Source organism: Homo sapiens, chromosome 16, assembly GCF_000001405.40.
Source record: "Homo sapiens chromosome 16, GRCh38.p14 Primary Assembly".
Classification (NCBI taxonomy): domain Eukaryota; kingdom Metazoa; phylum Chordata; class Mammalia; order Primates; family Hominidae; genus Homo; species Homo sapiens.
In genome coordinates, this window is record NC_000016.10 from 5,990,602 (window position 1) to 6,004,034 (window position 13,433).

A 13,433-nucleotide genomic window follows, 5' to 3' on the forward strand; every position below is an offset into this window, starting at 1 on the left:
TTTTCAGAGAGAGGCCTGGAAAAATAGTTGCGGTGTATGGGGAAGGTGGGTGGGAGGGAGGCTTGTAAAGAGGAAGTGAATTTGGGCCAGGCACAGTGGCTCACGCCTGTAATCGCAACACTTCAGAAGGCTGAGGCGGGCAGATCGCTGGAGGTCAGGAGTTCAAGACCAGCCCCAGCCTGGCCAACATGAGGAAAATCCATCTCTACTAAAAATACAAAAATTAGCTGGGTGTGGTGGTGCACGCCTGTAGTCCCATCTACTCGGGAGGCTGAGGCAGGAGACTCGCTTGAACCTGGAAGGCAGAGGTTGCAGTGAGATGAGCACACACCACTGAACTCCAGCCTGGGCCACAAGAGCAAGACTCTGTCAGAGAGAGAAAAAAAATACATTTGGTTATGCCTCCCATCAAGGTTCTCATGAAATAAAAAAAATGTTTTAATGGAAAATTCTTGTGAAACAAGGAAACTGAGTTTATTTTGAAAGCATTCTTTGTGTGCTTGGCTCCCCTTGCCCCTCTTATTAAAGTTGGACCATTTGGGGGGTGACTGTAGGGTTACATACAATGCGTTGTATTCAGTTGACCCTCATGGCAATCCCACTAGGTTGATTTTCATATTCCCCATTTGCAGAGGAGCAGCAAAGTTCTAGCACAAGACCACACAGGCAGGAAGTGGAAGCCCATGATTTTAATATACGTCTCCCAGGTCTGATTGCACCCCTTCCCTTCCTTTCCCTTGCAAACGGGTAGCTACAGCTCACAGTTAGTGAGCAGAGTAGAGCGCCGTGGGCTGTGAGCACGTAGAAGGAATTAAAGAATCATCGTCACTGCAGCTTTGTGCTGGGGAATGGCAATTAGCCTCTAGTTTGTTTGGATTAATATCTCTGGAGACCTTTACGGAAGTATTATTTATTGATAAGGACCATGCATCGTGGCTGGATAGGAGCTGGGAGATCTGTACTCAATGATCGCAGTGGAGCAATTGCACAAGGAGAAACTCCTCATCGAAAAGATGCCATTTGGTTTGGGAAATTATTAGATAGTTTTTTTTTTTTTTTTTTTTTCTTTTTTTGGAAGTTCTATAACTTCTGTGGGGAAGTTTGCTCTGTGAGTTGAGCCTGCCTTAGGAGCTAAACAGACCCGGGAAAATCCCAGCCCTGCCAATAATCAACAATGTTGCCTGGGATTGATAAGACTTCTAACCTCCTTCAACCTTAGCATGTACCTGGTTGCAGGGCTGGGAAATTAGATATGGTGTATCTGATGCTCTAGCACCTGAGCAATGGAAGGCATTTAAAAGCAACCATTCTTACCATCACAGTTTTAAAAAAATTTGAACACTTGTTAACTGGAATTGCTATGCACACACAGGCTAGAGAGAATCAGGTAGTGAGAAAAAAATACAGAGATTTGTAAAAATGCATATACATTTTACACAAAGTTATGGGCTGAGCTTTAATGTAAGGAGAGATGAACTGTAAAAATCCTTCACCAAACTGTGATCTTTGGGAATTGAATTAGACTACATTTACCTTGACATAAAATATCAAAAATTCTGAAGAAAAAAAAAGAGAAAAGAAGTAAAATAAAAAATGAGGAAAATAACTTCCTTCTTCAAAGAACAAAGAGTTTTCAAGTTCTTTAGAAGATTGTTTATGTCAGAATGATACAGCTGCAGTGGGATTGCAATAGATAGGGAAAAAAAGGTTAACATTGCTTAGGCAACTCTGTTCAGCAAAAGCTACTTCAGTAATTGACTCAAATTTTATCTATTCATTAAAGCGAGACCAATGGGTAACCCTTTCTTAGCCATCACTCAGTACTGTGTAGAATGAAAATGCGTAAGACTGAATTCCTTTTGACAGGATCCCCCAACTTAGATCTTGCAGGTTTTTCCTGCAACTGGTATGAGTCACCAAGCCTTCGTGTGCATGTATGTGTGTGTGCTTGTGTGTGTGCTTATGTGTGTGTTGGGGAGTTTGTGGTTGCTTCTCTAGGAATCCGATGAGAAACTAATATTTTCTGACAGGAGACACTATTAAGATTTGTGGTCAGGCGTGGTGGCTCACATCTGTAATCCCAGCACTTTGGGAGGCCAAGGTGGGTGGATCACCTGAGGTCAGTAGTTCAAGACCGGCCTGGCCAACATGGTGAAACCTTGTCTCTGCTGAAAATACAAAAATTAGCTGGGCATGGTGGCAGGTGCCTGTAATCCCAGCTATTCGGGAGGCTGATACAGGAGAATTGCTTGAACCTGGGAGGTGGAAGAGGTTGCAGTGAGCCAAGATCATGCCATTGCACTCCAGCCTGGGTGTCAGAGTAAGACTCTGTCTCAAAAGAAAGAAAAAAAAGATTTGCATGACAGTGGCAGACATCTGCCGACTTGAGTCAGTAGTAGGACATGGCAGCTCCAGGCTGGGGGACCCTGGGCTTGAGCCTGATCTTTCTCTATGCTTACCCACAGGCCCTCTCAAATCCACAAGTACCATCCTGTCTAAAACTGAAAGAGATACGGAACAAGCCATGTCCTCAAGGTTGAACCAGTGACCTTTTGTCTTCTGTCCACTTACACATGATAAATAAGTAGCAACACATGGATGCAGGTACCTCAGAGTAACTGTTACTGGCTGGGCTCTGAGCCATATAAACCCATTAATTTCTCTTTCTTTTTGTAGCATGTATGTGAAAACCACAAGAGAGAATGTGCCTGTTTGCCTGCCTATTTGATAATGCTGTACGTGTGTGTGTGTGTGTGTGTGTGTGTGTGTGTGTGTGTGTGTGTGAGAGAGAGAGAGACAGAGAGAGAGAGAGAGAGAGAAGGAGACAGAGAGAGACAGAGACTTTCAAGCCTGTTTTGTATGAAGCTCTCAGTAAACACATCTGGTGAAGGAGGCAGAAAATACAGCCAAGTCTGTAGAATTCACCTTCTTACCCAGCAAGCATGAGTCTGTGTTCATTGAAATGTTGGCCATTATTCTATTTGACTTCTCTGATGTTCTCAGGTTGATATGTTTAAGATTAATGAGGCATTAGTTCTCCATCAAGGAGCCATAATCAAGATTACCCATTTAGCTGCAGTGAGTTGTGTCGCTGCATTAATTAATATCATTTGACCTTTGTATTTTGGGTGGGATGATGTATCGCTGCATTTTCCTGAGCAGTGCCGTAAAATTGATGGCTTGAATATTGCCGCTCATATGGCCGAATGGTTCGTTTAAGTTAAATACTGTGCTTGTAATTAATATAGGATAGGTAAGTCTGGGAAGATGATGTATATTAATTCTTATTTAGTGAAGCAGGTCCCGCTGGGTGGGAGATTCAGCACTTGATTTGGATGCCTTATTGGAAGCACTTTGCTGCTGGGGATGTTGGCACGTATGGGACGGTTCCTCTGAAAGCATGACTTGAGGAGTCCTTTCCTAACTCAGAGATCATGTCTGCACAAAGAGTTAAATGATGCAGGATGGGAATGGAGCTATGGGGGCTCGTTCGACTCTCTCTGTTCCTGTTTTTCCAGCTGTAATGGGTGTATTGCTAACGCAGATGCCAATTCATTGGGTTTTTTGTTTATGTTTTTGAGACAGAGTCTTGCTCTGTCACCCAGGTTGAAGTACAGTGGTGCAATCTTGGCTCACTGCAACCTCTGCCTCCTGGGTTTAAGCAATTCTCATGCTTCAGCCTCCTTAGTAGCTGGGATTATAGGCATGTGCCAACATGCCTGGCTAATATTTGTATTTTTAGTAGAGACTGGGTTTCGCCATATTGGCCAGGCTGGTCTCGAACTCCTGGCCTTGGGTGATCTCCCTGCTTTGGCTTCCCAAAGTGCTGGGATTACAAGCATGAGCCACCACTCCTGGGCATTAGGTCTTGAGCAAACTGAAAGTTTCAGATTTTTCCAAGTGGTCCTGGTACCACAATTTTAGCAGCAGATTTCTATACCAGGTATATTTCTACACGAGCTTGGCAAGGTTCAGAGAATAGATATTTCTGGCTGTGTAGGTCCTACAGTCTCCATTGCAGCTACTCAACTCTGCTCTGCAGTGGGAAAACAGTCACAGATAATATGGCAATGAGTGTGTGTGGCTGTGTTCCAATAAAACTTTATTTGAGAAATCAGGTGGCACGCTGGATTTGGCCCATGGGCAGTAGTTTGATGAGCCCTACTCCACACCACAAATTCCTCCTGGGCAAGTCTCTTTTCTTCTCCACTATATTTCAGGGCCTAGCAAAGGGCCAAGTGCCCAATGAGAAATGCATACATATCTACGAATTGAGTGATGAGTTTCCACTCTTCTTCAGTGTCATGAACAGATCAACTTGCCCACAGCAAAAGTGACATCCATCGATGCAGGAACCAAAAGCCCCAGCTTCAGGCTCCTCTCACTAGCTGTGAGACAGGAGGAAAGGTTGGGAGATATTTTTTTCCCCTTTCCTACAACCATGCATTGATCTTAAATGAGTTCCAAATAGATGAGTTCTGCCAAGTCTTCTTGAAGTACATTTCTGTACCTTACACTATAACCTGCTTCGAAATGTTAAGTGTTTTAAAAACAACTTTCCACATAATTAAATATTCCTTACCATTATTTTTATTTATTGACTGCTCAGTATTTCACATTTTAAGCAATATTCTGTGGGAAAGCATTTGCGTTGCTTTCTTTTTGCAAACTGCTAAACATAGTTGCACATATATCTTAGAGCCCAAATCCACATATTGTCTTGAAATAAATACCTGAATAGGGCAACTTCTGTGTAGAAAGGCAAGCTCATTAAGATAGATTGCCCGCCATGAATTTTAGAGTCCTACCAGAAGAGCATGATGGTAAGTGCTTTTATCAAAGGTTTTTGAAGAGGAATTTAGAGAGAGAGGGAGAAAAAAAATAAATCTTTTTAAGGATGATTATTATGCCAAGTGGAATAAGGATACAGAAATGTGAGAGGGGACAAAGAAATCTTTGTGCATCTAACTGTTGCTGTGAGGACTTAGCTGTAGAATTCAATTTTCTAAAATAGAATGGACAGACAGAAATCCTGGATGCTACAAGTCAACCCTTTGCTTCATTGCAAGTCCAGATTATGTTCAAGCTTGGTGGAAAATCTTTGATATAAACAGAAGAAGAGTTCCTGGGGCTCTTAGATCAAACTGATGTACACAGTACCATAAATAGGGTAGGGAGGGAGCTTGGGCATTCTCACCATTTCATTAAGAGGAAAGTGTCTTAACCCATTTGGGCTACTGTAACAAAATAGCATCAATGTGTAGTTTATAAACAACAGAGATTTATTTCTCACAGTTCTGAGGGCTGGGAAGTCCAAGACTGAGGCAGTCTCCAAGATTGATTCGGTATGTGGTGAGGGCCCATGTTGTGGTTCATAGATGGCATCTTTTTCTTTGTTTTCACATGGTGGAAGGAGAAAAGGAGCTCTCTGGGACCTCTTTTATAAGAGTACTAATTCCAAGCATGAGGGTTCCATCCCTGTGACATAATCATCTCTGAAGGATCTCACCTCCTAACACCATCAACTTTGGTGTTGGGATTTCACCATATTAATTTTGGGGGCACATAAACATTCAGACCATAACAGAAAGGGATACTGAACTGCAAACAGTGGTCATTTTCCACGAGCTCTTCTTAAGCTCTGCAGCAGGGAGAACTTTCTCTACATCCGCACCATGGCATTCATTTCACCAGACGATGTAGACTCCACAGAAGGCATGCCTCTGATTTGAAACCCATGAGAACCCAGGTCATGACAATGATTTGGGACAAGCATTGGGTTCCCCTTAATTACATATTCAGAACTGGCTTTGCAATCTGGTTGGAGGAGTTCACGGAGGTGTGAGGGTGATTTTTTTTTTTTTCTCCCAATAAGCAGTGAGAGGTTTTGTGTGTAGATTAGTGGAGGTCCTAGGAGGGCACAGGCAGCATACTCAAATTAGGTAACTTGTAAGTGAGGGGGCTATTTGCAAAACATGGACAGGGAATGGGGAAATCACAAGGGCTAATTCTGTACCCTAGGGCTAATTGCAGCATAGGCATTTACCACCTTGGGGCTTGAAGGGGTAAGAGAGAGAGCAGTTAAAGGACCTTCAGGTAGAGAGAACTGTGGGATTTAACTGACGGTCACAGACAGCTCACAGCTCCCCTGCAGGAAATCTGGGGAATAAATATTCCAATGTCACCCTCTTTCCTTTCTCCATCTCTGCTAGTGCTCTCCATCAGCCAAACCCTCCAGGAAGCCAGAGGAAAAGAAACCCACTGTTGTAAAGAAACCCATTTTTGCCATTGAAAGTAAGAGCAAAAACCACAGTTACTTTTGCATCAACCTAATAGTTCGTCCAAACTGACGAGCAAGCACCTCCATCTCTGCTGGTGCTCTCCATTGTCCAAACCCACCAGGAAGCACCTCCGTCTCTGCTGGTGCTCTCCATTGTCCAAACTCACCAGGAAGCACCTCCGTCTCTGCTGGTGCTCTCCATTGTCCAAACCCACCAGGAAGCACCTCCGTCTCTGCTGGTGCTCTCCATTGTCCAAACCCACCAGGAAGCACCTCCGTCTCTGCTGGTGCTCTCCATTGTCCAAACCTACCAGGAAGCCCATAGCTGTTGTTGGTCCAGGTCAGCCTCCTGCCTGGGGCACAGAACAGAATGAAGATGTTGGAGCCTGGACCTCTACAGTTAAGGAGAAGGTAAACAGCCCAGTGTGGCTGCATGGATTATTTAATTGTATTCTGTTGTCTAGGGCAAGGTACTTTGGTTTAGACTTGAGTCTGAAAGCATCATGAATTTGTAGCTACATGATAGGATTGATGGTATAATTAAAAAGAAAATCCAGAGCTTAACCACATGCTAGCTCTGTGATATGAAGGTGGGGTTTTTGTGACTATGTGGCAGATAATGTGGCACACACCTGTACTTTATCTGACATAGTACTTCTTGGTAGCTTCAAGAACTCCATGAAGAATCACCAAATCTCTAGAGCGATTAGGCACTCACATTGTGCCTCCTGGGTTGCAGGTGATAAATGAATTATGCCAAGGAAAACAAAATATTGATTTCAGCTTTAAAGTTGGAAGAGGAATGGTTTTCACATTTTCCCAAGGCAAACCGTCCAAGAGCAAAATAAGCCTCATTCCCGTAAAAGTTTCTGTTAAATCTCACTCAACTAGGAGATCATCAAATCCAATAAATGAACCTGTTTGCTTGGTTCTCATGTAGTTTAATGCCTGTACATTTAGTTTACTTTACTTTTTTTTTATTTGCTGATAGTCAATCATTTGCTGATTTTCAAGATGTTAGAGTACATAACATGAAATTTGAGTTCCGACATCTCTTGAACAATATAAAAATGTGGCTGTTATTCCCACATAGGAAAAGCCGTAACATTGGAGTTAAGGATTTACCACTTCAGTTGGTGCCTCACCAGTTCCTCTTGGTCATTGTTAATGTGCCTGTGTGAGAAGACATTTGAGTTTCAAGACTGTATAAACCTACCAAGTCCCTGTACAGCAGAGTTTCAAGTCTGTATAAACCTACCAAGTCCCTGTACGAAGTCCCTGTTCATTCTGGTTTCATTTGTTTTGTTCTGGGGAAAATTCATGAACATACACTAGATTCCTCTGATGTGGAAGGTTTATCCTGGATCTCTCCCTTAGATCTCTTTGATAGTCTCTGATATTCTCAACAGCTGGATCTATTGCAATTCATTAAATTTGAGGAAAACTAAAATAGATTACACTGACATTTACATTTGCATTGTCTATAACAAAAGAAATAGAGTGAGGAATTATCAAAAAATAATCAGTAGTTTAAATCAGATATTGGGGGAAGGCGGGCAAGCGAACTTCTATCTTGAGTGTTTAGAACTAGAAGAGGCTTCGGACATTTCTAGGGCTAGGGTGTTTTCAACAAGATGATGTAGTTGTTTTTCTTTGAGTGAAATGTATGTGGATGCCCAGCATATAAAATGGATCAAAGCTGAGGGGCTTTCACTGAAGCAAGGTTGTGTGAGGGTGCAGAGCCACCTCCCTCACCCTTTTCCAAATCCTGAGTGCACTGGTGTGTTGTCGTCCCATCCGAATGTCCTTTCTGCTTACAGAATATGAGAACTTTACCCAGTCTCTGATTGTCCATAATTAAAGTGCAAATGGCATTTTTTCGCATACTCCTTCTGGTCTGTCGGCATCTTCTTGGCACCCACATCAGATGTTACTACGTATATAAATTCACGTGTCATATTGCAGTCAGATTTTAATCCATTTAATTCCAAATGGCATCTCCTTGTGTTCATCTGGATTTTTTCTAATTTTTTAATCTATGGAACATCTCCCTATGGAACATACTGGACTATCTGCATTTCCCAGTCCAAAAAAATCTATGTGGATGAACTGTTATGGGAAACATTTATCCTGAATCATCTGAACACTCCATTAATCACAGACTGCCTGAGACCTCTGTTCAAGGAGCATGACAGAGTTGTTGAGTGAAGAAGGAGGCTCAGGAGTCATTAGCAATTCATTAGTGGAAACTTTCTGAACAGTCCTCTCTGTCTTCACTCCTTAGAATGCATGCCCAGCCTCCTGCCAACACTGCCTTTCCATTATTTACTCACCTCTTCCCTTCTCCCACCTTATCTCTACCACAGGGCCTTTGAACATACTTTTCTGACTGCCTAGAATTCCCCCTCATGCTTCTTCCCCAAACTAACTTTGGCTTTTTCTCTCAGCTCAGACATCACTTCCACAAATAAATCCTTCCTTAAGTCTTCAGACCGGGTCAAACTCTTCCCCCATTGAAACCTTTCATAGCATCTTGTAAATACTTATTTGCAGGATCATTTGATTCATTTTTTTTAACCTCAAATTTCCTTAAAAACAGATAATGAAACAAAACTTACATGCTAAGGCTTTATAAAGAGGTGTAACGCCAGGGCAGCAAGAGTGAAGGAAGAAGGGTTGGCCGGGCGCCGCTGGGTGCGGCTGGGCTTGGTGGCTCACGCCTGTAATCCCGGCACTTTGGGAGGCTGAGGTGGGCGGATCACGAGGTCAGGAGATCGAGACCATTCTGGCTAACACGGTGAAACCGTGTCTCTACTAAAAATACAAAAAATTAGCCGGGCTTGGTGGCGGGCGCCTGTAGTCCCAGCTACTTGGGAGGCTGAGGCAGGAGAATGGCGTGAACCTGGGAGGCGGAGCTTGTGGTGAGCAGAGATCGCAGATCGCACCACTGCGCTCCAGCCTGGGCGACAGAGCGAGACTCCACCTCAAAAAAAAAAAAAAAAAAAAAAAAAAAAAAAAAAAAAAAAGAGTGAAGAAGGGAAATCAGACAAGGAAAGAAAGCAAGCATATATAAGGTGGTATGTTACTGAGCGGACCACAGCTTTATAAGGAACAATGGTAAGTTGCTCCATTATAGGGGATGTTTTTTAGGCAGGCTGTGTGGGATGACTGTACCTTGCAGTGATTTGTCGGAAGAGAGAAGGGTGTGTCTGCCAAGGCCTTACCTCCTCCTATTATCTCATAGGACACGTTCACTCAGTGAGAGAATTAACTCATCTACATTTACAGGATGTGTTTTCTGGCCTCTTAGGGCAGTACCTGGACAAGATCCCATGCCCCCCTGGTGCGATGCTTCCTCTGAAGCTGGAAGTAGTGGGACAAACCGTAGACTTCCTGAGTCTGGTTGGTTTGGACTTGGGTTATGAAGTCACAGCAGACATGATGAAGATCATGCCAAAGCTCAGCCCTGACCAGGGAGAGGCAGTAACAGCTGGGTTATGTTAAGATAGGAGGCACTGTGGGGGCGTTTCCTTTGCCAGAATTTCCTTTGAGGAAAGGGGCAGGTGGTGCTGAACACATCTGGAGAGTATAAAATTGGATCCCGTGCATGCCTGTCTTGTGTCTGCCACTCTCTTGTACGCAAAATAAGGGCGAAAACTCTATGTTTTCCTTTGCTGAATATTGTATAACTAGCCAGCCTCTAGAACAGTGCCAGGAAATAGAATTACTTAAATATTTGTTGAATGGATGGATAGGTGGATGGATGAAAGGGTAGGTGGATGGGTAGATGAATGGGTGACTAGGTGGATGGGTGGATGAGTGGGTTGGTGGATGGGTAGATGGGTGGATGAGTGCATGGGTAGATGGATGGATGAGTGGGTAGGTGGACAGGTAGATGGATAGGTGAATAGGTAGATGGTTAGGTGGGTGGATGAGTTGGTGGGTGGATGGATGGGTGGGTAGGTGGGTGGACAGGTAGGTGGGTGGATGAATGGGTGGGTGGATAGGTAGGTAGGTGGGTGGGTGGGCGGGTAGGTATTTAGATGGATGGGTGGTTGGATGGGTAGATGAATGAGTGGGTAGATGAGTGGATGGGTGGATGGATAGCTGGGTGGATTGACGGATGAGTAGATGAGTGGGTGAGTGGATTGGTGGATCGATGGATGGGTAGGTGGGTTGATGGACAGATGGGTAGATATTTAAATTAAAATTAATTAAAATATCTTAGCCTCTGCCCACTTCTTCAGAATTACTGGTAAGCTGTTGTGAGCTAGAGGCAACAATATTTGACCAACTGGAGAATCATCTTTGCACAGCATGCTTTGCCACATATTAGCCTGGAGCTCTCCAGTGGCTGAGTTGGTCCTGGAATTCTGATAATTTCCAATGAGGTGATTTTCTCTAGATTTTCACTTGTAGGATTTATGTAAGAGTTACTGGCATAAAGACACTAGGATCAAGTGTCTTTATTGCCAGTAAAGAAACCACCAATGGTGTGTGGCTTGTGGAGCTCTGCAATGTAATATTTTACAAGTGCCTTCCATGGGCCACACATACTGTGAAGGACTTTGCTCGAATTACAGAAAGCAATTCCTCTGGAGCAGCAGAATTGGGAGGTTGAACCCCATCATGTCTAACTCCAGAGTCCATGCTTTTAACAATGTTTTCCCGAGATAAGTGCGTAATTAAATATATACAAGATGGATTTTAGATACTACAGAGACAAGATTATTAACCTTAGTGCTTATGTATTTGCTTAAATACATGGTAACAATGCTAGTTTTTAATTAGGATGTTAATGTTTTCATTTCAAAATACATTAATTTAAATAAGGAAATAGTTTCAAGAAAAATATCAACTCTATAAGAGTGCAGCTGGTACAAATATATGACAGAAGCCATGAGGGTGGTGCACAGATGACTAAAGCCTGGGAAACACTGCAATAAGCCAAACTGGAATATCCAATGGGACTCAGAACCCTCTGAGGCCCTCCTCATTCCCTCTTCTTCCCCTATTCTTTACTCCCATGATTACTGTAGGGCTAGAAATTTTCCCTTCAAACATGAATAATCTATAGCTCTTAAACCTTTTTTTTTTTTTTTTGAGACTGGGTCTTGCTCTGTCACTCAGGCTGGAGTGCCGTGGCATGATTTCAGCCCCTGGGCTGAAATCTTCAAACTCTTGGGCTCAAGCGATTGTCCCTCTTCAGCCTCCCCAGTAGCTGGGACTACAAGCATGCACCACCATGCCCGGCTAATTAAAAGATAATTTTTTTTATAGAGACTAGGTCTTGATATGTTGCCCAGGCTGGTCTCAAATTCCTGGACTCAAATGATCCTCCCGCCCCAGCCTGCCAAAGTTCTCATTTTATAGGCATGAGCGACCGCTCGTGGCTACCATTTTCAACTTACGATTGTGTCTCTTTTGTCCTAGATTAACAGGCTAATTTGCTCTCAAGAACTGAGGGAGTGGTACAGAGGAAATAGAGTTTTGACATGGAGACCCAGAGGAAGTAGCAGCTCTGGCTGTGCGTACTAGTTAACAAGACTCACTTTCCACATGGCATGCACCTTTGCATTTTGAACTGATTTTGGTGCCCTGTTGTTTAAAACAGGAAATCTTCTTTGCCCATGAGTTTGAATGAAAGGTTGAAGTAGGTGGAGATAATTGAGAGAAGTGAATCCATAATTGAGAGAAGAGAACTCCATAATTGAGAGAAGAGAATCACTAAGATCTCTGTCACTCTTTCTTCTCCTACCGTTCTGTGTTTCCAGAAAGGACACAGCTTCTAGCACATGATAGGCACTTGGAAAAGTGAATAAAGCAATATAAAGTTCTTAAAATAGTGGCTGACACATTTTAAGTACCATATTTATGTTTGCTAATTTCTTCAATATGATTACAATAGTAAATTGATTGAGTTAGAGCAAATAAAGTGGGAAGAGCGTGGTTTGTGGACTCCCATAGGGTTGTGTGTTAAATATCCTCTGTGGTATCTGAGATATGCACTCTACACATACTTCCATCCTGTTCTCTGCCCTTCATCAACAAGGTTGTAGATCCTCTGACAGCCATTTCAATTTTCCTCGTTGGGGGACACAAGAAATGGGAGGGAAGACTGGGCGTGGTGGCTCATGCCTGTAATCCCAACACTTTGGGAGGCTGAGGCGGGTGGATCACGAGGTCAGGAGATCGAGATCATCCTGGCTAACATGGTGAAACCCCGTCTCTACTAAAAATACAAAAAATTAGCTGGGCGTGGTGGCGGGCGGTTGTAGTCCCAGGTACTCCGGAAGCTGACGCAGGAGAATGGCATGAAACTGGGAGGCGGAGCTTCCGGTGAGCCGAGATCGCGCCACTGCACTCCAGCCTGGGCGACAGAGAGCAAGACTCTGTCTCCAAAAAAAAAAAAAAAAAGCAATGAGAGGGAAAGAGAAAAATGAGATCAAGACGTTTGTTTCCCTGGTTCCCTCCTTGTGAGATCTCCTGTGCTCCTTGCCTGAAGGTAGCTCTTCCTCCTCTCAATGCACCTGCTCCAAACAGTTTCTCCTCCTGCATTTTGGTGACTACTTCTCGCCACCGCCCACCACCACCCCTCCCACCCGGCCCATTGTTTGAGACCTAGGCACAAGGATGACTTCATTGACAGGAGTCTAGGGTCATTGCTCCACCCCTGCGGTACCTTTGTAGCTAGTGCCTTTTTAAATACAGCGACAGCTTCCTGATCACCTACATTGGAGTGTGCCAGGTCTTTTCTTTCCTATTGGGATCCTGCCAACTGCAAAGCTAGCCTCTGCTATTCCCTAGGCCTGGGGCCTTGGCCAAGTTCTTTAACATCTCTTGGGTTCAGCATCTTTGTCTGCAAAACAGCTAAGCCAGGGTCTCAATCTCAAATGCCTCAGGAACCACACAAGTGGTCAAATGAGTGAGGAGGGTCTGTGCCCCCCAACTGAGGCCTCTTGTCAAAGGCCTTCAAGAGAGCAGGCCTAGGTGGCCAGATGTTTTGATTTATTAAGAGAGTCCACAAATCTGGCTTTTCTATGAAGTCTCCTGACTTTGAAATGCTAATTTTAGAAATATTCAGCAGGCCAAACTTTGGGTTTATTGAGAGTTTATTGAGAGGACTAGAAGGCAATGCATACAAGGTCATGTT

General features: G+C 43.7%; 1 protein-coding gene across 4 annotated transcripts in view, besides 1 other annotated feature; it reads left to right on the top strand.

Annotated features, from left to right (window-relative positions):
• Window positions 1-13,433, top strand: part of RBFOX1 (RNA binding fox-1 homolog 1) — a 2,473,620-nt gene that overhangs the window by 750,881 nt on the left and 1,709,306 nt on the right. The window lies entirely within an intron of this gene.
• Window positions 12,047-13,246: an enhancer, noted in NCBI's record as "P300/CBP strongly-dependent group 1 enhancer chr16:6052649-6053848 (GRCh37/hg19 assembly coordinates)". NCBI's record gives its function as "activates an origin of replication core promoter dependent on BRD2, BRD4, P300/CBP, MED14 and CDK7 cofactors, with strong dependence on P300/CBP, by STARR-seq in HCT116 cells {active_cell/tissue: HCT116}" and the evidence as "EXISTENCE:reporter gene assay evidence [ECO:0000049][PMID:35650434]".